Below are 25,909 nucleotides of genomic sequence, written 5' to 3' on the forward strand. Positions count from 1 at the left end.
TTTAAATATTAAAACAATAAATCTTTATTAAACAGTTTTCACGGCATTTTAAAATAAATTTAAAAAATAAATATTTGCATTATAGCAGAAAGTCACATGTATTGCATCAACTCACTTTTACAATTTAATGGCATGAGACAACTAAGCATCAGCACCATAAAACTGTTAAGATTTGTTTCTTAAATTCAAGGAAATAGCTCTAAAGCACTGCAGCATCAATAATTTTGAAAGCTATAACCCAGTGATTGGTGCTCATAGTAGCCAATGTTTCTTTTTATTACTGGCAACTGTGGAGACAGAGTTCTTCCAGTACTAAATATTAATAAGTTCTCTGATCGACAATCCCCCATCTATCAGTGTGTCAGGATTCACAAAGAAAAGAACTGCAGGTTATGTAGTATATTCCCTATCTGTGATTTAGGTTTGCACAAAGACACTTATTCTAGCAAAAAAGAAAAGATAGTGTTTCCACCATGCTACCTTTTTTTTCTTTTTATAGAGTCTCAGAGTAAGATTTAAATCATAATTTTTAACCTTTAAAAGTCTGTTCAAGTTCAATTACAACCATAGAAACTGTACTGGTATCAGAACATAACTATTTTATTACAAAACTTAACATTATTTACAAAATGAAAAAATAATCAAATGACTATTGCAGGCCAAAGTTAAAGGTTTTTCACTCAATGATTGAAGAAAAATTAAGCAATATTTCCATGCACTCACACCAGATCATTTCTGAAATATGCAAACTCTTAAAATTCATGTTAGTAAAACTTTAATGTATTCATAATACTTGCTATGTTTATTAGAAGATGGTCAAAAAAAATCCATGGTTCTGTACAATAATATTAACAGTTTGTTCATTTTCCTTTAATATTTTTTGGCTTCCATGAACACTCGTAGATTGAACATTCTGCAAGTAAGAATTATAATAGTACCTCTGTCACCTTGCTGAATTCATCACCACAAGAAAAACACAAATAGTTTAATGCTTTTGCACTAAACTGAATAGTTATAACTCCAAAGTTATATTAAACTGAAGCCTTCATTGTGATCAATAGCTTGGATCAGTTTAGAGCGTAGAGTTTCTTTTTCTGTATATTTTGGAAGATCCAGAAGATTAAAACAAGTATGGGAAACTGGGAGATACTCCTCACCACCTCCTGTGGACTGGATGACTAGTTTCAGACTCTTCATACCAAGAATAGGAATGCGATCACTACCTGTCAAAAATACTGCCAAGAAAGAAATCATTCAGTCAACCACTTCAAAACAAAAAGATACAGTAGCAAGTAATATTTGGTACAGTCGCTACAGCAGAGCTTCACTTTAACATCTGCTCTAACGTGTTATCTTACTTCCTAATTTGTGGAAGACAAGTTTTTTGAGACACATTCTAATTGCTCATCCACACAATATTTTTTCTTTAAAAGTATAATCTTAATACTGGCACAAAGGAAGTGCTTAATAAATGTTTGATAAGTGAGTATTTTGCCATTGCCAAAACATTTTGAGAGCCCTTTTTTGGAAAAGCCATTCAGAACTAGTTGACAAACCAAATACAAAATGCAGTTTTGATTATGATTTCTTTTTCTATTTGCTTCGTTTCTGTTATTTTTTTTAAATCAGAAATTTATAATGGGCAGCCAAAATTCAAATCATTCTTTTTTTTTTGAGACGAGTCTTGCTCAGTTGCCCAGGCTGGAGTGCAGTGTGCGGTCACAGTCACAGCAGCCTCGACCTCCTGGGCTCAAGCAATCCTCTCTACCTCAGCTTCTGGAGTAGCTGGGAGCACAGTCACCAAGCCCAGGGCTAATTTTTATAGAGATGAGGTTTTGCCATGTTGCCCAGGCTCAAATCACTCTTAAAGAGTAATGATTTCTCATCCTTATGACACACAGAAGAATTTGACCAAGATTCTCGGAGGTTGCCAAATCATTCCTGGCAAAAGCAGGAGTATCAAAGGAAATGTCACCGATTTGGACACATAAATTCTGACAACTTTAAAAATAAGTCAAATTTCAATTAGAATACAGACTTTAACAGAAGAAAGATACACAGGCATCAGTTATAAATGAGGGAACTAAGGCCTGAAAAAGCTTTATTTTATATAGAAATTGCCAAAGTTTTAGTCTTGAAGCAAAAAGAAAAAGAAAAAGAAAATGAAGACCAAACAGAGAAAAGAGCAATACAGTTGGCCCTCCGTATCTGTGAGCTCTGTATCCATGGATTGAACCGACTGCAAATCGAAAATATTTTCAAAAAATGGATGCTTGTGACTGTACTGAATGTGTCAACTGTTTTTCTTGACATTGGTCCCTCAACAATACAGTATAACAACTATTTACATAGCATTTACATTGTATGAGGTATTAATAACATGTACATTCATGTGTCACTTAACGATGATGATATGTTCTGAGAAATGCATCATTAGGTGATTTCATTCTGTAAACATCATATATTTACACAACCTAGACAGTATATAGTCTACTACACACCTAGGCTACATGATATAGCCCTATTGCTCCTAGGCTACAAACCTGTACAGCATGTTACTGTACTGAATTCTGTAGGTAACTGTAACATAACAGTAGGTATTTGTGTATCTAAACATAGAAAAGGTACAGTAGCTGTATTATAATCTTACAGGACCACTATCGTATATATGGTCTGTCATTCACTGAAAAGTCATTATGTGGCACATGACTGTAATCTAGAGAAGATTTAAAGTATAAGGATATGTGTAGGTTATATGCAAATACTATGCCAATTTATACAAGAAACTTGAGCATCTACTGGATTTGGGTATCCTTGGCAGGGAGGTCTTGGAATCAATCCCCCATGTATGCCAAAGGATGACTATACTCCAGAGATCTTTTTAGAAATCTAAAAGGAATTCTACAATCCTAGTTTATTGTAACCACAGTTTATTGTAACTATAACATAGCTATAGTTTGCTTTCATTTCCAAGTTAGCTTCCATTTTACTTCATAGAATGAATCAATGCTATTTTGAAGGCAAACTGAATTTAGCCTTTGAAATAAGAAAATACATGTACTGAAGAGTGCAGATAGTTCTGTTTCAAAAAAATTACTTGAAGATTAAAACAGGGCTTTGGAATAATACTATAATTAGATTCCAGTCTCATAAAGTATACAACTAGTTAGAAATACTTACACAGAAACTGTTTCTTCTTTTCCAATGGTAATTCGTGAAATACTTCCCAAAAAATTTTTATCGTAGGATGTTCTGCCCAATATTCCCCTTTGTATTCTGTATTCTAAAAACAACATAATCTTTTATTAGTATTAAGGGACACACTGGCTAATATATTAGCACATAAAGCTAACATGGTCCAGTAGTTTGCAACTTGTGCAATTCAATGGATTGCCCACTGTTTTCTGGACATTTACAATTTGAAGCTATTAGTTCCAGGAGAAAAAGAAGAAATACGTAAGAATCACCAGAAATCTTTCCTAGCACTTCAAAGAACATGATAGGATCATACTATCATCTTCAAAAGTAAATAAAGAGAAACTAGATAAAATAATGTTATAGGACCATCAAAAGTCTGACATGGAATTATCTGTGATAATCAGAAAATTCCCTTTCTCTGTATTCATGAACAGAAGTCAAACCATTACAATTTATCTCTCCTTTTAAAAATATGGTACTAAGCAACACTAAAAATTTTCTGAGGTAGTTTCCAAGATGGCCACCAGTGAGCACTGCCTCCTGGTATTCATGCCCGTGTGTATAAGGATACTGTGAATATGAGGAATGTATGACTTCTGAGACTAAATCATAAAAAAAAAAACCTCTATGGCTTCAGCCCTTCTTCTGGATCACTCACTCTGGGGGAAACCAGTTGTCATTTCATGAGGATATTCAAACATCCCTATATGGAGAGAAGTACTCATGGTGCTATACTGAGGCCTCCTGCCAACAGTCATGTGAGTAAGCCACCTTGGAAGTGAATCTCTATCCTTAATCATGCTTTTAGATGCCTATAGCACCAGCCAATATTCTGACTGCAACTTCATGAGGGAACCCTGAGCCCAAACTACTCAGCTAAGCCACTCCTGAATTCCTGACCCACAGAAACTATGAAACAAGAGTTTCATTGTTATTTTGAAGCCAATAAGTTTTGGGGTAATTTGCTGCAATAGGACTAAAATATCTCCCCTGTCAAAAATATTAGTACTGGCCGGGCGCGGTGGCTCACGCCTATAATCCCAGCACTTTGGGTGTCCAAGCCGGGCAGATCACTTGAGGTCAGGAGTTCCAGACCAGCCTGGCCAACATGGTGAAACCCCATCTCTACTGAAAATACAAAAATTAGCTGGGCATGGTGGCAGGCGCCTGTAATCCCGGCTACTTGGGGGAGGCTAAGGCAGGAGAATCGCTTGAACTTGGGAGACGGAGGTTGTAGTGAGCCAAGACTGTGCCATTGCACTCCAGCCTGGTCAACAAGAGCGAAACTCCATCTCAATAAAAAAAATAAAAAATAAAAAAAAAAAAAAACAAAAAAATTAGTACTAAAAGAGAAGCAGGTAGGAAGTAGAGAGGAAATAGTTTATACTGTGAACTGTTCTTATCCAGCCGCAGTTGGCTTTAACTTTCAGTTCTTCAGATGCGTCAGGTCCTTTGGACATACTGTTCCCTCAGCCTACACCACTCAGACACATCCTTTCTTCTTTGGTCATCAGGCTAATTTTTACCCTTTTAGGGCTCAGATTAAATGCCATCTAATTCATTCATTGATTCATCCAACAAATATATAATGAGTTTTAGTCAATGTTTTGGGCCCTGGGAAAACCTCAGTGAACAGAATCCTCACTTACCTTGTGGAGCTCACCGTCTAGTAAGAGGCGTTCCCAGATTCATCTAGCCTAGATCAGGCTCCTCCTTACGCACCATTCACTAAACTCTTTTTCACTGTATTAATTAAAACTGTGTATTAAACATTTAATTTCTAGCTCTCTTATTAGGGCAAAGACCATGTCTCTATCTTATTTCCTGCCCTCTCTTCAATCTCTTGCATGGTTTCAGCTGTACATTATCCGGCACACAGTAGAGGCTCAATAAATACTTGCTAATGGGCTTCTTGAATTTTGGACTTTCCTTATTTGTAGCCATGATTTATCTTAATCACTGAACTCTCAATAATTCAAATATGCAAAATATTTGCTGTTAGTTGCACACAAGTTTGAAGAAAACAGCTTGAATTCTAGCATGGAATTTATGGAATTTATTCAACTGTTTGAATTAAAGTCTGTGAGCATGTTAGTGGGGAATGAAAAGAGGATGGCTAAAGTTTTTTTTTCTTTTAAATCTCTAAATGGTTTGGTAGAAATGTGCACACATGTCCTGATTAAGAAAGAACATTTAAAGCTCCAAATCATAATCACTAAAATTGTAATGAATCAGATATACAACAGAAGAAATCAAAGTGTTAAGAATAAATACACCATATATATATATATATATATATATATATATATATATATATATATATATATATTTTTTTTTTTTTTTAGATAGAGTCTTGCTCTGTCACCAGGCTGGAATACAGTGGCACGATCTTGGCTCACTGCAACCTCTGCCTCCCAGGTTCAAGCGATTCTCCTGCCTCAGCCTCCCGAGTAGCTGGGATTACAGGCCTACACCACCACACCCAGCTAATTTTCGTATTTTTAGTAGAGACGGGGGTTTCACTATGTTGGCCAGGATGGTCTTGATCTTCTGACCTCGTGATCCGCCTGCCTCAGCCTCCCAAAGTGCTGGGATTACAGGCATGAGCCACTGCGCCCGGCCGCTACAATATACTTTTTAAGATGTCCTGTCTTAACTGAATGAACACTTAAATCAATTATCACTTCAGGCAAGGTTTCAAGTACTTACTGAGTGCTCTCCTAGGTGCTGGGAATACAGCAGTGAACAAAGAGGCAAAAATTCTGCCCTCATGGTGCTTACATTGTGGTGGGGGGAAGGAGCAACCTAAGTAAAATTATGTCAAATCCAAAGAAGCAAAATAAAACAGCGAGGGGAGACAGGATACGTGTGCAGGAGAGAGGTTTGCAATTTTAGATCAGTTATCCAGGGAAGGTCTCTGAGAAGGTATAAACACACAAAGGAGGTGAGAGCAAGAATCTTTTGTGATTATCAGGGGAAGAGAATTCCAGGCACTTGGAAAAGGAAACAAACGCCCTAAGACTGGAGTGTGCCTGGAGGGTTCTAGGCTCAGCAGAGGTTAATAAGGCTGAGGCAGAGTGAGAGGAACAATGACAGGAGATGAGGCAAGGAGGGAAAAATTGTGTAGGATCTAAAGGGTGATGAGAAGCTGTTATATCATTTTCATTTTAAGGTGATTAGAGGTGGAGTCCATTTCCACTGGGGGACCCCTTAGAGTTAGTATCTACAGGCTTCTTCTTTTGAGAAGATCAATTTACTACTACACAAGAACCTTCAATCTCCTTCCTGAAGGATTTACACCTGGCTACCAGCTGTGTAGCATCCTCAGTGTTACCTTGTTTCCCAAATTGTAAAGCCTCTCTCCCAAGCTGTCTTTTGCTGGGTAGGAGAGGGGACATGCATGGTCCAATTATTCTTTAAAATGGCTTTAAAGTAATTCTGTTGCCCTTAGTCCAACCTTCATCCCTGCCATTAAGGGTAACATGGTATACCAATTCTTGAGCCTTTCAGATTCTAGGATATAAAATGAGTTGCCTCGGGCCAGGAGCGGTGGCTCACACCTGTAATCCCAGCACTTTGGGAGGCCGAGGCGAGTGGATCATGAGGTCAGGAGTTCAAGACCAGCCTGCCCAATATGGCGAAACCCCATCTCTACTAAAAAAATAAAAAAATCAGCCGGGAATAGTGGCATGTCTGTAGTTCCAGCTACTCGGGAGGCTGAGGCAGAAGAATCGCTTGAACTTGGGAGGCGGAGGCTGCAGTGAGCCAAGATTGAGCCACTGCACTCCAGCCTGGGCGACAGAGCAAGACTCCATCTCAAAAAAAAAAAGAGTTGCCTCCTGACAATCCTGTCCCTCTGGAGGCTTAGAATTCAATTTTCCTCTGCTCTAAGTCACTCATCAATTTATCTCCTTACTTTCTGTCTTCCAAAACTATTTCTTCTCTTGTTCATTGCATTTTTATTTTTTGGTATTTTTATTTTATATTTCTATTTTTATTCCATTTCTGTCATTCTAGTGATATTTTTGGGAGGGAGCAGACATGTTTATTCCATAATGTTTAACTAGAAGTCCTAATTATTCTTAAAATCTTATTCCTTAAATTACTACACAGTAAAACTGGCTATATTCTGGGGTGTATACAGTTCTGTAAGTTCTAAGCACATGTGCAGATCTGTGTAACCACTGCCACAATTAGGATACTGAGCAGTCCCATCACTGTTATGCTCTTAGATGCCTCTTGTGCTACCTCCTCTGAAGTCACACCCTCCCACTCAACCCCTTGTCTCTATTCACTATAATTTTTTGTCTTTTCAAGAATGTCACATAAATGGAGCCATACAGTATGCAACCATTTGAAACTGGCTTCTTTCACTCAGCATAAAGCCTCAGATTCATCCAGTTGTTGCATGTATCAATAGTGCTTTTTTTTCTTTTTTGAGACAGGGTCTTGCTTTGCTGCCTATGACAGAGTGCAGTCAGGGCTCACTGCAGCCTCTACCTCCCGGGCTCAAGGGATCCTCCCACCTCAGCCTCCCGAGTAGCTGGGACTACTGGTGCACGCCACCATAAAGGGCCAATTTTTGTATTTTTTGTAGAGACAGGGTTTTATCATGTTGTCCAGGCTGGTCTTGAACTCCTGGGTTCAAACTATCTGCCAACCTCAGCCTCCCAAAGTGCCAGGATTAGAGGTGTGAGACACCACACCCAGCTGTGCATTTTTTTTTTGAGATGGAGTTTCACTCTTGTTGCCCAGGCTGGAGTGCAACGGCACGATCTCCGGCTCACTGCAACCTCTGCCTCCTAGGTTCAAGCGATTCTCCTGCCTCAGCCTCCCGAGCAGCTGGGATTACAGGCACCACACCCAGCTAATTTTGTATTTTTAGTAGAGATGGGGTTTCTCCATGTTGGTCAGGGTGGTCTTGAACTCCCAACCTCAGGTGATCTGCCCGCCTCGGCCTCCCAAAGTGCTGGGATTACAGGCGTGAGCCACCGCGCCCGGCCCAGCTGTGCATTTCCTTTTAACACTTAGTAGTTATTCTGCTGAATAGGTATACTGTAGTAGGTTTACCCATTCACCCACTGAAGCACATCTAAGTTGTTTCCAGTTTTTCACTCATTTGCAAATTAAAAAAAAAAGTCTTTAAAAATTAAGGCAAAACACACATACCATAAAGTTTGTATCTTAACCATTTTAAGTGTACACTTCAGTAGCATTAACTACATTCACATGGTTGTACCACCAACCATCTCCAGAATTCATTTCATCTAGTAAAACTGAAACTCTGTCCCCTTGGTTTACAGATTTTTGTGTGAATATAATTTAATACCTGGGAGTAGGACTGCTAGGTCATATAGCAAATGTATGTTTAACTTTTTAAGAAACAGCCACTGTTTCCAAAGTGACTATACCACTTTGTATCCCCATCGGCAACATATAAATGTTCCTGATGCTTTGCACCTATTAATATGACTGACATAAAAAGTAGAGTGGTAAGTGCTGCTCTGTTTTTTTATGTTAGTCATCTTAATAGGTATACAGTATCTAACTAATTATAAATGCATAAATCAGAGGATGGTATATTAGAAAGATAGAAAATCAGCAGATTAATTTCACATATATCTTCCTCAAAGCTGATCTAACCTTGCACTTTCTGTCACTCTGCCTCCCAGGTTCAAGTGATTCTTGTGTCTCAGCCTCCCAAGTAGCTGGTATTACAGGAGTGTGCCACCACACCTGGCTAATTTTTGTATTTTTAGTAGGGATGGGGTTTCACCATGTTGGCCAGGCTGGTCTCCAACTCCTGGCCTCAAGTGATCTGCCTGCCTCAGCCTCCCCAAGTGCTGGGATTACAGGCATGAGACACCATGCCTGGCTTAACCTAGCACTTTCTTTCTTTTTGAGATGGAGTCTTGCTCTGTTGCCTGGGCTGGAGTGCAGTGGCGCAATCTCACTGACTTGAACCCTCCGCTTCCCGGGTTCAAGCGATTCTCCTGCCTCAGCCTCTCGATAGTTGGGACTATAGGCGTGCGACACTATGCCCAAATTTTTGTATATTTAGTAGAGACGGGGTTTCACTATGTTGGTTGGCCAGGATGGTCTCGATCTCTTAACCTCGTGATCCGCCCGCCTCGGTGTCCCAAAGTGCTGGCATTACAGGCATGAGCCACCACACAGGGCCAGCACTTTCTATTAAATGTTTATCAGAATCAATATTTGATAATTACTCTGCTAAAAAATGTAACACTGAGACTAATCAGAAAAAAAGGAAACAAAGATTTTTAAAAATCATAACTGCATTTCATGATGGTTTTCCTAAGACTGAGGCAGAACGAAAACCCATTCAGCTTTGGCTAGGGCTTTTTTTTGGAGAGTGCAGTGGCGCGATCTTGGCTCACTGCAACCTCCGCTTCCCAGGTTCAAGCAATTCTCCTGTCTCAGCCTCCCAAGTAGCTGGGATTACAGGTGTGTGCCACCACACCCGATTAATTTTTGTATTTTTAGTAGAGACGAGGTTTCACCATGTTGGCAAGGCTGGCCTGGAACTCCTGACCTCAGGTGATCCGCCCACCTTGGCCTCCCAAAGTGCTGGGATTACAGGCATGAGCCATCGCGCCTGGCTTGGTTAGGGCTTCTATCTAGCTGTGTCACAGATGACATTTTTGTTTTCTTTTGAGACAGACAGGCTCCTGCTCTGTCATCCAGGGTCAAGTGCAGTGGTATAATCATGGCTCACTACAGCCTCAACCACCTGGGATCAAGAGATTCTCCCACTGCAGCCTCCCACAGGTAGGACCACAGGTGTTTGCTACCACATCTGGCTAATTTTTAAAATTATTTTTATCTACTTTTATTTACTTATTTTTTGTTTTTGAGACAGAGCCTTGCTCTGCTGCCCAGGGTGGAATGCAGTGGCACAATCTCAGCTCACTGCAACCTCCGCCTCCCAGGTTCAAGAGACTCTCCTGCCTCAGCCTCCTGAGTAGCTGGGATTACAGGCACGTGCCACCACACCCAGCTAATTTTTGTATTTTTAGTAGAGACAGGTTTCACCATGTTGGCCAGGCTGGTCTTGAACACCTGACCTCACGTGATCCATCCACCTTGGCCTCCCAAAGTCCTGGGGTTACAGGTGTAAGCCACCACGCCTGGCCTAAGTTATTTTTAGAGATCAGGTCTTGCTGTGCTCCCCAGGCTGCTGTTGAACTCCTGGCCTCAAGTGATCCTCCCGCCTAAGCACCCCAAAGTGCTGGGGTTATAGGTGAGAGCCACTGTGCCTGGCCAGATGAGTTTTCTATATCAATACCACCAATTATAATAGTGTCTAATTCATATACCGTTCAAATCCATTCATTGTGGAGTTTGAAGGGTAGAGTGCTTTCCTGTAAAATGGTAGTAATAAAGTGTATAAAATAAAAAATAATACATAAAAAGGCAAGATTTCCATATATAAATCTTTCCATTTAACAATATCAGAGATTAGTTTTCCCCTACCTTTTCCAGTTCCTTCCAATCATAATTTGTATTTCCAATGACCATTGCTTGTAGTTCATTAGGCTGAAAGAGCAGAAGGACTTTTCCTCCACAGACCTTATGAAAGCCCGCATGAAAAGCATCAAATAAGGAAGCCACTGATTTATTGAATATGTAATCCACATAAGCATCGACAAACTCTTGCCTAGAAATGAAAAAGCACACATGTACAGATTATAAAAATCATGTATGAAGAATCCATAATGTAGTCATTAAAACTTCAAGTGCTCCTACAATTTCTGCTACATATCTACGAAACTGAGAATGTATGAGTAGCGTTCAAACAGGACAAAACCAAAGTCACTATGGAAAAAGCTATTATTCTTTCTATATAAAAATCAGCTGTATCCATGAGGCATTCAGTTATTCTTAGGCTATTCCTAATGGAAAAAATGTCATTTCCTAATGGGCAGAATGATGCAAATGGCTATGAAAATAATTTTAAAATATTTACAAGTTATTGAGAATTTATATATATCATGTCACATGCATCCCTAAAAGGAATGTCTGTTACAAACAATAGGTGACAAAAAAATGAGAGCTTTGGATTCAGATCATTTGACCAACTATAGCCTTCTTTTCCTTGGGTTCCAAGGAATCTGAACAAAATTTACTTTAACAAATGCCTAAGAGAGGGTACTAAGCATTCTTTTAGGATAATCATTAAAGAGTACAAGTGTAGTTTCTTTTCAAATGTACGTGTGAATACATATACAATCACTTCTGATTCTCTTCTATCTCTTATGATACAAAACGAAACTGTAAAGAAAAAAAGAAGCCCCTTTAACCCCTGAATTTGAACCACAATCTTATTCAATCTGTTTTGTTTTGCTAGCCACAACATTTTATGATGCTATCTGGTCAAATAATGAGAATGGATACTAGAAGATTTCACTATTTTATATCTTTGTCTTCCAAGTAATAAAGGATGATTCTGCAATAGGAATAATGGTAAGTTGCCTTTCAGAACCAAGTTTTTTTTTAAAACAAGGATATCTAGAAGGACCTAAAATTTTTTCACATCATTTTAAAAACAGCTTTATTTTTATCAAAGTAAGACATATCAAGAGTTTAAAACATCAAATAGTAACAATCCTAATAGCCAACATTTACTGAGCACTACATGTGCTAGTTCTTATTCTAAGTATCTTAAAATATTGTCTCATCTAGTTCTCAACCCCATGAAGTAAGTATAATTTGTCATTCCATTTAACAGAGAAGGACACTGAGGCATTGAGACATCAACTAATTTATTTAAAGTTATAAAGCATCTAAGTAGCGGAATTAGGATTATAATCCTTTGGACCAACTCCCTGGCAACAGCCACTATTAAAGAATTGTAACAAAATAGAAGAGAACAAAGCAACTCTGTCCTGCACTTCTCTGCCAGAAATTCCCGCTATTAAAAGGCAACTATTTAACTCTTTTTGCTATTCCTTCTGATATTTATATTCAAGCTTCTAACAACACAGTTCTATTGTTATTCCTTAAATTTCAATTTGCTTTGGATTAATCTTTAATGTAATTGTCCCATTCACTTTCTACTCCCCTGTACATCTATTATATTTATATAACAATTTTTGGTTCAATATTTGTTAACATTTCTATATTATTCACAGTTAAGCTGTATTCTATGGTTACCCTTTTTCTCTTAAAAAGAACTTCTGTTTTCTTTAGTTTGCTAATTCATCGCCAACTTCTCCAAAAGAAATATCCATTTCCTCTAGATTCATTCAAAATACTAGATATTTATTTCTCTCCTTGAGCCCTCCATCCTCTTGATCTAACCCAAGTTGTTATTTCTAAATCGACACAGTTATTGATCCTTCAGAAAGAATCTTTGCTTGTTTGAATCCTGGTGGTGGTGGTGGTTGTTTTTTTAATCCTGTGTCTTCCTCTTTCTTGGTTTAATTCCTTGTTTTGGTAGACAGAACACATCCTCCAGTAACTTCCTGAGAAAAAGGCATCAGAAGTAAACTCTCTGAGACTGTGCATGTATAAAAATGTTTTTAAACACACACATTTGATAATTTGGATACAGAATTCTAAGTTAAAAGTAATTTTCTCCCAAAATTTTGGTCTTCTAGCTTCCAGTGTTCCTTGATTCCAGTGTCTGATGTTACTGATTCTTAGGTCTGTGGGTTTTCTGGACAGTTTTAGGGTCCCTTTGACTGAAAATTTTGAAATTTCATGTATCTTGTCTTGGTATTGATCTTTTTTCCACTTCTCGTGCTTTCAATCTTGAAAAGATGTCATTCGTTTCTGGGAAGTTTTTTTTTTTTTAATATTTTCTTTGACAGATTTCATTCATTCCAATTCTTTCAAATGAGTTTTTTTTTTTTCCATTTTTAATTGTATGCATCTGGATGTCACGCATCATTCTGAGGATACTGATTTCGGTTTCCTCTGAAGTTTTGTCCTTCAACCTGCATGGTTCCTGGTTTCTTGCCATTCTTTTTGACTGTTTTGGCCTTTCCTTAAATGTCTGTTGACCTTTGGCTATCGATTTACATTTTTTTTTTTTTTTTGAGACGGAGTCTCGCTCTGTCGCCCAGGCTGGAGCGCAGTGGCACAATCTCGGCTCACTGCAAACTCTGCATCCTGGGTTCAAGAGACTCTTCTGCCTCAGCCTCCCGAGTAGCTGGAACTACAGGCACATTCCACCACACCTGGCTAATTTTCTGTATTTTTAGTAGAGATGGGGTTTCACTGCATTAGCCAGGATGGTCTCGTTGTCGTGACCTCGTGATCCGCCCGCCTCGGCCTCCCAGAGTGCTGGGATTGCAGGTGTGAGTCACTGTGCGGGGCCTATGGATTTACATTTTAAATGTTAGGCAGTTTCCCCAGAAAAGGATCTTTCACTATACGGTACCAAGAAGGAGGGAGCTATAGACTTTCAGCACTTAATCTCCCTGTTTTCAGTTCAGCTCCTTACCTGTGGCAGTGTCCAGGTGTCCTCAAACCCACAGTCTCTTTAGTTCAATTTCTCCAGAAGGTAAATTTCCAATCTCCTGCCCAGGCCAGAGAGGGGCAGTTGCCAGATTCCTGGTGTGCTAAGGGAAACTAATTTCTTCTGTTGTTGTTTTAAATCCAATGTTAGCATGGGAAACTAGTTTCTAACTGCTTCTTATAAGAGTTCTAGCATTTCCCCAAACACCATGCATTTTCTAAAGGTATGTTTTATTCTCAGCACCCAAACTTTTGTTTTGTGAAGTGATCCAGCTGGCTTCGTGACTCCTCTTTTCCATCTCATGTTGTAGCTTTCTCTGGTTTGCTTAAGTTAGTTACTACTGTTTCCTGGCTTCCAAAAATGTTTGCTGCTGTCACTTCTCCCTTCTCTTTGTTTTAATGTCTTCAAGGGATTTCAGGAGGAAAAGGCAGATTATTTCCTCACTAACCACTCAAAATTAAAGTTTTATTGGAGTAAAAGCTTAGGGTTGTGACACGTTTTCTACGTACAGAAGAAAATGTCTACTGAATCTTATTACTCCCACTGTTGCTGCTAAAATTCACTTACCGATTTTGTTTGTTAACAGCTGTGTCTGCACCATTTAGAACCAGCTCTTTCACTTCTGTTGCACCAAAGTTTTCAACTGTGATCTATTAATTTAAATTTTTAAAAAAAGTCAATGTCAGACTCAAAACTTATAATAATCTATTATTATATTCTACCTTTCTCTCATTTAATTAAAAAAAACTACTAAATTTGAGATAAAATTCTGCTACCATATAGCTTATCTGAGAATTCTACTTAAAGCCAGAACTAGAAATTTGGTACTCTCTAGTTTGAAATCCTACCATGATTAATTACAAATTACCAAGTTTGGTAAGTTAATAAGGAAACTAAGCATTTGTTGTGCATAAAACTTTAGAATTGTTACTATAAAATATTAGACAGGATGTTTTCCTTAGACGAGTGATAAAATCCAAGTATGAGAATGCTATTCAGCTTAGAAAACCATGCATTCTTCCCACATGACAACTGCTACTCCAGGGTTCCTCTATCACCCTTGTTGTAAACTTTATCACAGACAGTTTTTCCAGTTATGTACTAATTTGGTTTATAAAGATAGGCAGTTATTTTGAAACCTTTTATTTCTTTTACTTCTGGAATTTTTCTAAAAATATTACCATTCCCACTTATGCATCTTTTCTTTTGCTACTCCTTCTTTTTGGAATATTATCCTCTTTTATGAAAACCTGCTATTTATAAAATACTATGATGGGAGTGGGATGTTAGATGAGTATATTCCTGCTGTGATGTTTACTATCTAGTAAAGGAAGAGAAATGTAACATATGAAGAACTAATTATAATAAAATAATGCATTTATAAGACAGAGATGAATAAAATGTTATCAGATCATAGAGGAATGCAAACAGAATTCTAAACTAGAGGAAGTGTGAAAGAACTTGAGGAAGAAATGCCATCTGAAAAGCACCTACAAGTAGGGGTAGTATTTTGAAAGATTAAGAAGAGAGTGAGATTTCAGACAGAGAATATCAATTGAACAAAAAATTAGATATTACAATAAATACCAAGTTTCTGAAAATGTATGGCAAGTGGCTCTGAAAAAGAGGAAGGTAAGGTATATTAAAAAAAATACTGTGTGATATGACAAAACTTGGTATGAAGGGAGGGATACAATGAAAGGAGAGGGCCAGTTTAAAAATGTCTTTGACACCCATTCTAAAGCTATTATTCTACAAGCAATAAAGAGCCACTGAAAAATCTCTGAGAAAGAAATGGCAGTGGGAAGAAATGTTTGAATTACCATAGTTCTTTGAATATAGTAAGAATTCACAAATTTGGTGACTGATAAATTAGAAATTAAACAGCTTGAAACTTAATTTTTTAGTCAACTGAGATGATCAATAAAAATTCAAGAAACTAACAAGGGTATGAGTGAATCAAATAAAAAAGAACCAAAATTTCATAGAAAATCGTTTTTGTTTTTGTTTTTTTTAATTTTATGGTCACCTTATTCTAACAGGAACACACTTTGGAAAATGCTTTTCTGTTGTTATCTGGATTTGTGGAGAGCAACTTTTTTTTTTTTTTTTTGAGATGGAGTCTCACTGTGTCACCCAGGCTGCAGTACAATGGCGTGATCTCAGCTCACTGCAACCTCCACCTCTCAGGTTCAAGTGATTCTCCTGCCTCAGCCTCCCCGAGTAGCTGGTACTACAGGTACGTGCCACCATGCCTGGCTCATTTTTGTATCTTTAGTAGAGACGGGGTTTCACCATGTTGGCCAGGCTTGTCTCTAACTCCTGACCTCCAGTGATCTGCCCGCCTTGGGCTCCAAAAGTGCTGGGATTACAGACGTGAGCCACTGTGCCCGGACAGAAAACAGTCTTAAAATTTTCTTGAAAAAATTATGAACATGCAATTTTTTTTGGCAAATTTTATGACAGCAGAATATGGCATCTTTTGTCAGCTTTGACAAAACCATAAAGAGAATGTTGTGTGTGTGGCAGGGTGGCAAACAAATATACAAGCAAAAAATTTAAAAAATAAAAAAGAGGCCAGGTGCTGTGGCTCACGCCTGTAATCCCAGCACTTTGGGAGGCTAACGCGGGCAGATCACGAGGTCAAGAGATTGGGACCATCCTGGCCAACATGGTGAAACCTCATCTCTACTAAAAATACAAAAATTAGCTGGGTATGGTGGTGTGCACCTGTAGTCCCAGCTACTCGGGAGGCTGAGGCAGGAGAATTGCTTGAACCTGGGAGGCGGAGGTTGCAATGAGCCGAGATTGCACAACTGCACTCCAGACTGGGCAGAGCAAGATTCTGTCTCAAAAAAAAAGAAAAAAAAAAAGAAAAGAAAAGGGAAAAGAAAACTGAAGGTTTTACAATTTCTCCAAGAGTCTAATTTATAATATTCAAATTGTTCCCTTCTGGAGTGCCTTACCGTAATACTTATGGATTTTCTCTTATTTAATTACCAACTAGTCTACTTCTGCCATATCCTCATCTATCAATGGCTTTGCATGTGACTGGATCAGTTATTTAACATCCCTTTTGGCCAGGTGCAGTGGCTCATGCCTGTAATGCCAGCACTTCGGGAGGCCGAGGCGGGTGGATCATGAGGTCAGGAGTTCGAGACCAGCCTGGCCAAGGTGGTGAAACCCCGTCTCTACTAAAAATACAAAAATTAGCTGGGTGTGGTGGCAGGCACCTGTAATCCCAGCTACTCAGGAGGCTGAGGCAGGAGAATCGCTTGAACCTGGGAGGCAAAGGTTGCAGTGAGTTGAGATCACGTCACTGCACCCCAGCCTGGGTAACAGAGCAAGACTCTGTCTCAAAAAAACAAAACAAAACAAAAAAAACCACATCCCTTTGCTGCCTTAATGAAATTGTGCATCTTTTACAAGATTTGCAATTTCATTTTCCAAATAATATTGCAATGCATTTGCATTTGTTTTATCTACATCATCCAACAGTGAATAAGACAAGATGGGCAAGGATGAATGTTAGTATGAAATAGAAAGGAATGTACCAGTGGAAATTAATGTTTTTAAGTTTAGTAGTAATATTCTCATATTACAATAACCTTTTGCTTCTCTAAAGCACTTCTGTAATTGCAGACTCAAAAATGAACACTTGGGTAAAGAGGATGTCTTGTATTTGTCAATATCTTTAGCATAATGATAAAGTACACAGGTTTAAGTCACAGAGGCTGGTATGCATACTGACTCCCCAAGGTAATGACTGTTTTCAGTGTTCTTCATCTGTAAACCAGGGATAATCCCAACCTCACTGGATTGCTGAGGATTAAATGAAATGCATGTACTATGACTAGCTAGCATGTAGTAAATGCTCAATAAATGTTAGCTAAAGGGTTCTTTAAGAATTCCATCCATCAAAATAAAGAAAAACCCTAAGACACGGCTGTTAAATAAAAGAGATGATAAATAATCAGGCTAACCTATGTCCTTCCATCTTACCGTAAAATTAAGACAAAATGTTTCCTCTATGTCATCTTCTGGATAATCCAGTAACTGTTGCATGCTTCTGCAAAATAATATATATGTTTCTGAGAGGAAAAAATTATTGGATATTTTGACTATTTTACTTATGGATATATATATATATATATACTTCTCATTCCCTCTTGGTAAAATCCTTTTGTCAATTTGTAATTTTATATTTGTTTCAGAATAGTGAATACACAATGGCAAACTTATAAATGATGCTTAAGGAAAAAAATTAGTAAAAGGTTCTTATCACTTTTCTGAATACAAAGGCCATGTATCCAACTATTTTCAACATTTTTCCTTATTTTATTTTATTTTATTTTTCCCGAGATGGAGTCTTGCTCTGTCGCCCAGGCTGAAGTGCAGTGGCATGATTTTGGCTCACTGCAACCTCTGCCCCCTGGGTTTTTAAAAGCAATTCTCCTGCCTCAGCCAGAGCAGCTGGGATTACAGGCGACCGCCACCATGCCCGGCTAATTTTTGTATTTTTAGTAGAGACCAGGTTTCACCATGTTGGCCAGGCTGGTCTCGAACTCCTGACCTCGTGATCTGCCCACCTTGGCCTCCCAAAGTGCTAGGATTACAGGCGTGAGCCACCGCACCTGGCCCATTTGTCCTAACTTATATAAAATTTTTAATGCATTTTATTTAATAAAAATAAATTTCACATATTCAAACTAGGAATGAAGGTTATCAGAAGTAAAAGTCCAAATAAATCATTTAACCACTCTCAGAAAAAAAATTTACTTTCCTAAGGTGATTATCTGATATTTGCAAGGTATTGTCAAACAACTAAAAATTTAGTCTTTCTTTTTTTTTTGAGATGGAGTCTTGCTCTGTCACCCAGGCTGGAGTGAAATGGCGCAATCTGGGCTCACTGCAACCTCCGCCTCCTGGGTTCAAGCAATTCTCCTGCCTCAGCCTCCTGAATAGCTGGGACTACAGGCGTGGGCCACCACGCCTGGCTAATTTTTGTATTTTAGTATAGATGGGGTTTCGCCATGTTGGTCATACTAGTCTCGAACTCCTGACCTCCACGCTGGTCTCAAACTCCTGACCTCAGGTGATCCACCTGCCTCGGTCTCCCAAAATGCTAGGATTACAGGTGTGGGCCACTGGGCCAGCCAAATTTAGTCTTTCAATAGAAAATTTTGATCTGAGAAACATAATGGATTTTCCTTTATTAGAAGGGCATTTGTTTACTTCAGAAATTTAACAAGAAGAACAAAATATATTTTTTCATAGAAGGAAAGCTTTCTGTACCTTCCCCACTTTTTACCTCCCAAACCCTACTACTTTTTGACTTTTTTTTCCAACTAACCTCCCAACATCAGGCATTAGTTCTTTCAAATCATCCAAGGATGGCTTCTTTTTCAGTAGTTTCTTATATAAAGCCAAAGGAAAATGGAGGTCCACAATGGTACAATTATAAATTGCTAAGCCACAGATAACACCAATCAAATGGAACAAATCACTGTCTTCAAATGTCTAAAAATATAAGAAAAAGTAAACACATGTCCTCCAAGTTAAAATATTAAATTTTCTAAGATTACATAAATATGCTCATATACAATTTTGAAGATAGAGAAAAAAGTAATAAATAACAAAAGTTCATCCTCATTACTGTCTCCCTGGGATAACATCACTGTTAGTATTTTTGTACATTTCCATGTAGCATATTTTCTCAGACTTAAAAAAAATATATCTAGCTGAAATCGTACTATACATACGACTTTACAACTGTTTTCTCCCAGACATAAGCATATTCATGTCATTCGACATTAAGTTAATAGGTGAAATAATTACTATAACTTTTTTTCTGATTTAAAAAGTAATACACATTCGAAATTTGGAAAACAAAGAAAAAACATAGAAAAGAAAATGAATAAACACCTGTAAACCAATCACTCAGGAATAATGATTAAAAATATTTTGTGTATTTCCACCTATAATAAGCTCAGAAAAATATTTTTAATACACCGTATTTAAGATTTTATCTCATTTTCTAATTACATGAGTATTATGTCACTAAATGTTCTTCTAAAACACAACTTTTTTTTTTTTTTTTTTTTTTTTTTTGAGATAAAGTCTCCCTCTGTCACCCAGGATGGAGTGCAGTGGTGTGATCTCTGCTCACTGCAACGTATGCCTCCTGGGTTCAAGAGATTCTCCTGCCTCAGGCACACACCACCACAGCCAGGCTAATTTTTGTATTTTTAGTAGAGACTGGGTTTCACCATATTGGTCAGGCTGATCTCAAACTCCTGACCTCAGGTGATCTGCTCACGTCAGCCTCCCAAAGTGCTGGGATTACAGGCGTGAGCCACCGTGCCTGGCCAAAACATGACTTTTTAATGGCTGCATATTGTATCATAAAAGTACAATGAGTTGCTAAATTTAGCTGTTTTACTCTCCTTGGATGCTTAGATAACTGAAACATACTTACACTACTGACACACTGAAAATGTTTATTTTTTTCCCTCATCTTTATAAAAGTAATATGTATTTACAGAAAATTGTGAGCATGATGGTTAAAGAATAAATGTTTTAAATAAGACGTGGGCTCCAGCCTGGTTTAGCAGTCTAGCCTCTGTGTTTTCAAAGAAGGTAAATATAGTATTTATCTCATATGGTTGTTGTGAGGATTACATGGGATAATATACGTTAAACACTTTTAGCACAGTTCTTGAAACACACACTAAAGGTTCAATAAATGTCAGTTATTCTTCCTAGCTAGTAGTATTAAAAATAAGATGGACATCTTTTTGCATATTTTTGTCCATAGTTTGAAATATTTCCCTAGGAGAAATTCTACTTCCTAAGGAAGAATTCATAAGTCAAAAGACAGTCAAGCATATTGCTAATCTGTTTTCCTCTACCCCCGTTCCAGTTTGTTTGTTTGTTTGTTTTTGAGATGGAGTTTCACTCTTGTTGCCCAGGCTGGAGTGCAATGACGCGATCTTGGCTCACGGCAACCTCCACCTCCTCGGTTCAAGTGATTCTCCTGGCTCAGCCTCCCGGGTAGCTGGGATTACAGGCATGAGCCACCATGCCTGGCTAATTTTGTATTTTCAGTAGAAATGGGGTTTCTCCATGTTGGTCAGGCTGGTCTCGAACCCCTGACCTCAGGTGATCCACCCGCCTCGGCCTCCCAAAGTGCTGAGATTACAGGCGTGAGATACTGCGCCAGCTCCTGTTCCAGTTTAAACTGCCATTTGCAGTCCAGGAAAATGCTCTACTCTTCACGTTTTCATCTGTATATATACTCTATGCACACACAAACACATTTTTCTTTTGAGTTTAAAATGACAACTTGCTTTAGTACACATTTCTGACTATTTGTGATACTGAAAATCAGAGATACATATGTGCTCATGAAATATCTCTCCAGGTACTTTGCCCACTTATCTTTTGGGGGATAATGTTTTTCTTAAGTATTTGTATTTGAATTCTTCATATATTAGGAGTATTACTCTGTGTCATATTTGTTACATACAACCCAGCCTGTTACATGCTTTTCAATTTTATGTTTTCTGCTATGCATAAATGTAACAGTTTTCAGTGGTCAAATTAATCTTTCTGTGCTGTTATGTCTTAATTCTGTTTAAGTTTATAAAGTTCTTAAATAGAGCAGACTGATTAATGTGTTAAATCTTTCCCCCTCCTAAAACCCTCTAAAAGAGAAGGAGGAAAAATGGTATAAGTCCACAGGAAAAAAGAGAATAAGGGAGGTAAGAGCAATAAAGAGATGTTAATAACATTTCAAAATATGAAAAGTAGACAAATGGCTGGTAACTGAATTGGTAAAGCAGAAAAAATTGAAATAGTAACTTACAGCTAATTTGTGCTACAGGCTCAGGAACTGGACGTACCAATACCCGCAATATCAGAGGTAGCCCAGTTAGCTCAGCTGGTAAACATAAAGACTCTAAAAGGCGGAGGTATTAGAGTGGGGTTGAAACTAGGATGCTTGGTGGAAAGTCCTTTGCCTTTTTGGAGAGCCTGAACCAGAGGGTCTGGAATCTGAGACAGCTGATAGTTAGGGTGCTGCACTGAAAACAAAGGGATCAAATGAAGGTCTGTACAGTGAACAAGGAGAATCCTAGCTTCCCTTTCCAGGGTCCAGAACACTACTAAAACACAGACACCCAGGGTTACAACCTTTCTTGAAAACCCAAAGGATAAAAAAACCAACATATGCTGACATTTGAGGATTCTCCTTTGACAGGTCCCCACCTAATTATTCTATGGATGGGGCCTGTAGAGTGGGAACAATTTTGCCTTGTGGCTTGGATGCCAGCACGGCCACAGTAGAACAGAGCACCAGGTAGGTTCCTTAAGGTTTCTGACTCCAAGCCCTGGCTCTCAGACAGCATTTCTGGACCCAACTGGGACTGAGGGGAACTCTCTGCACTGAAGGGAAGAACACAAGCTTCGCTGGCTTCACCACCTGCTGACTGCAGAGCCCTAGGGCCTTAAGCAAACAAAGGCAGTAGCCAGGCAGTGGTTACCATGAGCCTTAGGTGAGACCCAGTGCTGTGCTGGCTTCAGGTCTGACCCAGTGCAGTCCCAGTAGTGGTGTCTACAAAGGTGCTGGCTGGTGTCACCCCTCCCCCAGCTCCAGAGAGCTCAGCATAGAAAGACTCTGGGAAAAAGTGAGGAAAGAGAATAAGAGTCTCTGCCTGATAATCCAGAGGATTCTTCCAAATCTTATCCAAGACCAGGACAGTACCTCTTAGTTTGCAAGAGACACAGTGATATTGGGCTTGGGGTGCCCCCTAATGCAGATATGGCTGCAATGACCAAAAACTTAGATTACAACACCCAAGTCCCTCTAAATACCTGGAAGGCCTTCCTAAGAAGGATGAGTACAAATAAAACCAGACTGTGAAGACTACAATAAATACCTAACTCTTCAGTGCCCAGACACCAATGAACATCCACAAACATCACAACCACCCAGGAAAACATGACCTCACCAAACGAACTAAATAAGGCACCAGTGACCAATCATGGAGAGACTGAGATATATGACCTTTCAGTCAGACAGAGAATTCAAAATAGCTGTTTTGAGGAAAAAGAAATCCAAGATAACACAGAAAAGGTACTCAGAATCCTATCAGATAAATTTAACAGAGTAAAATAAAAAGAAGCAGAAATTCTAGAGTTGAAAAATGCAACTGACATGCTGAAGAATAATGCATCAGTGTCTGTCAACAGTGGAACTGACCAAGAAAAAGAAGTGATTAGTGAGCTTGAAGACAGGCTATTTCAAAGTACACAATCAGAGGAGCCAAAAGAAAAAACAAGAAAGAATGAAGCACTCCTACAAGATCTAGAGAATCGCCTCAAAAGGGCAAATCTAAGAGTTATTGGCCTTAAAGAGGGGGTAGAGAAAGAAATGGGATGGAAAGTTTGTTCAAAGAGATAATAACAGTGAACATCCCAAACCTAGGGAAAGGTATCAATACTCAAGTACAAGAAGGTTACAGAATACAGAGCAAATTTAGCCCAAATAAGACTACTTCAAGATATTTAATAATCAAACTCCCAAAGGTCAAGGATAAAGAAAGGATCCTGAAAGCAGCAAGAGAAAAGAAACAACATACAGTGGAGCTCCAGTACATCTAGCAGTAGACTTTTCAATGGAAACCTTACAGGCCAGGAGAATGGCATGACATATTTACAGTGCTGAAGGAAAAAACTTTTATCCTAGAATAGTATGTATATCCAGTGAAGATATCCTTCAAACATGAAGGACAAATAAAGATCTTCCCAGAAAAATAAAAGCTGAGGGATTTTATCAACATGAGACCTGTTCAAGAAGAAAAACTAAATTGAGTTCTTCAGTCTGAAAGAAAAGAACTTTAATGAGCAATATCATGTGAAGGAGCAAAACTCACTGGTAATAGTAAATACACAGAAAAACAGAATATTATGACACTCTAATTGTGGTGTATAAACTACCCATATCTTGAGTATAAAGACTAAAACATGAACCAATAAAAAATAATAACTACAGCTACAAGACATAGTGTAGTAAAATAAACAGAAACAACACAAAGTTAAAAACCAGGGGAACACAGTTAAAGCATAAAGTTTTTATTAGTTTTCTCTTTGCATGTTAGTTTATGTAATTGGTGTTTACAATATTGGGTTATAAGCTATTTGCAAGCCTCATGGTAAACTCAAATCAAAAAACATACGACAGATACACGAAAAATAAAAAAAAAGAAATCAAAACATACCACCAGAGAAAAGTCACTTTCACAAAAAGGAATGGAATAGGAAGGAAGGAAGGAAGGAAGAAGGAGGAAGGAAGGGCAAAAAACAACCAGAACACATTTAAAAATGGCAGGAATAGCTGGACACTGCTGGCTTACATAGCACTTAGTGAGGCGGAGGTAGGCAGATCACTTGAGCCCAGGAATTTGAGACCAGCCTGGGCAACATGGTGAAACTCCATCTCTATACAAAATATAAAAATTGGCCAGGCATGGTGGCACGTGCCTATAGTCCTAGCTGCTTGGTGGCTGAAGTGGGAGGATCACTGGAATCCAGGAGAGGCTTCAGTGAGTTGTGATCACACCACTGCATTCTAGCCTGGGTGACAGAGCAAGACCCTATGTCCAAAAAAAAAAAAGATGCAAGAGTAACTCCTTATCAATCAATATAAATGGACTAAACTCTCCAATCAAAAGACACAGACTAGGTAAATGGATAAAACACAAACACACACACACACACACACACACACACACACACACACACACACACACAAGACCCAATGATCTGCTGCCTAGAAGAAACACACTTCACTTGTCAAGACACATATACTGAAAATAAAGAGATGGAAAAAGATATTCCATGCAAATGTTAACTATTTTGTCTAATACAAGGTATTAGACAAAACAGATGCAAGACAAAAACTATAGAAGAAGACAAAGAAGGTCATTATATAATGATAAAGGGGTCAATTAAGCAAGAAGATATAACAATTACAAATATAGGCCAGACGCAGTGGCTCACACCTGTAATCCCAACACTTTGGGAGGCCGAGGTGGGCGGATCATGAGGTCAAGAGATCGAGACCATCCTGGCCAACATGGTGAAACCTCATCTCTACTAAAAATACAAAAATTAACTGGGCATGGTGGCACACACCTGTAGTCCCAGCTACTCGGGAGGCTGAGGCAAGAGAATAGTATGAACCTGGGAGGTAGATGTTGCATTGAGTCAAGATTGAGCCACTGCACTCCAGCCTGGGTGACAAGGCGAGACTCTGTCTCAAAACAAAACAAAACAAAATTACAAATATAAATATGCACCCATACTGGACTGCCCAGATATATGAAGCAAATATTATTACCGCTAAAGAGAGAGAGAGAGACCCCAATACAATAATAGCTGGAGACTTCAACACTCCACTTACAGCACTGGACAGATCATTCTAACAGAAAATCAATGAAGAAACATTGGACTTAATCTGCACTACAGACCAAATGGATTTAACAGATATTTATAGGACATTTCATCCAGCAGCTGAAGAATACACATTGTTCTCTACAACATACGGATGGACCATATATGTTAGGCCACAAAACAAGTCTTTAAAAAAATACAAGTCTTGCTTTAGGTCCAAAGACAGAAATAGGTGGAAAACAGTTATTCCATGTAAATAGTAACAAAAGAGAGCTAGAGAAACTATACTAAGACAAAACAGACTAATATGATGCAAAATTGATATGAGACAAATATTGATAACAGGGTCAATTCATCAAGAAGATACAACAATTACAAATAGTTATGAACCTAACAACACAGCTCCAAAATATATAAGGCAAAAGCTGACAGAATCAAAGCGAGGTATAGACAGTTCTAAGATAATAACTGGTAGCTTTAATATCCCACTATCATTAATGTATACAACAATCCAAAGATCAATAAGGAAATAGAGAACCTGAACTACATTATAAACCAATAAGACCTATCAGACATATATAGAATACTCTATCCAATAAAAGTAGAATAAACATTCTTTTTAAGTGTACATGGAACATCTTCTAGGATAGACCATATGTTAGGTCACAAAACTTTCAATAAATTTTAAAAAGACTAAAATCATAAAAAATTATCTTCTCATATCATAATGGAATGAAACTAGAAATAACAAAAGGAAATCTGGAAAATTCACAA

General features: G+C 38.3%; 1 protein-coding gene across 22 annotated transcripts in view; it reads right to left on the reverse strand.

Annotated features, from left to right (window-relative positions):
• HERC4 (HECT and RLD domain containing E3 ubiquitin protein ligase 4) overlaps window positions 1–25,909 on the reverse strand; it is a 153,379-nt gene continuing 127,470 nt past the window's right edge. For 21 of the 22 annotated variants that reach the window (NM_001278186.2, XM_047424999.1, XM_017016041.3 and 18 more), the window contains 6 exons: window positions 19,035–19,201; window positions 17,684–17,750; window positions 14,249–14,331; window positions 10,693–10,876; window positions 3,181–3,283; window positions 1–1,235 (listed from right to left, as the gene is read on the reverse strand). In NM_001278186.2, the coding sequence (NP_001265115.1) occupies window positions 1,027–1,235; window positions 3,181–3,283; window positions 10,693–10,876; window positions 14,249–14,331; window positions 17,684–17,750; window positions 19,035–19,201 (813 nt within the window). In that variant the 3' untranslated portion in view covers window positions 1–1,026. The remainder of the gene's footprint in view (window positions 1,236–3,180; window positions 3,284–10,692; window positions 10,877–14,248; window positions 14,332–17,683; window positions 17,751–19,034; window positions 19,202–25,909) is intronic. The other variant, NM_001278185.2, reaches the window with a different exon arrangement.

Source organism: Homo sapiens, chromosome 10 (genome assembly GCF_000001405.40).
Source record: "Homo sapiens chromosome 10, GRCh38.p14 Primary Assembly".
NCBI lineage: Eukaryota > Metazoa > Chordata > Mammalia > Primates > Hominidae > Homo > Homo sapiens.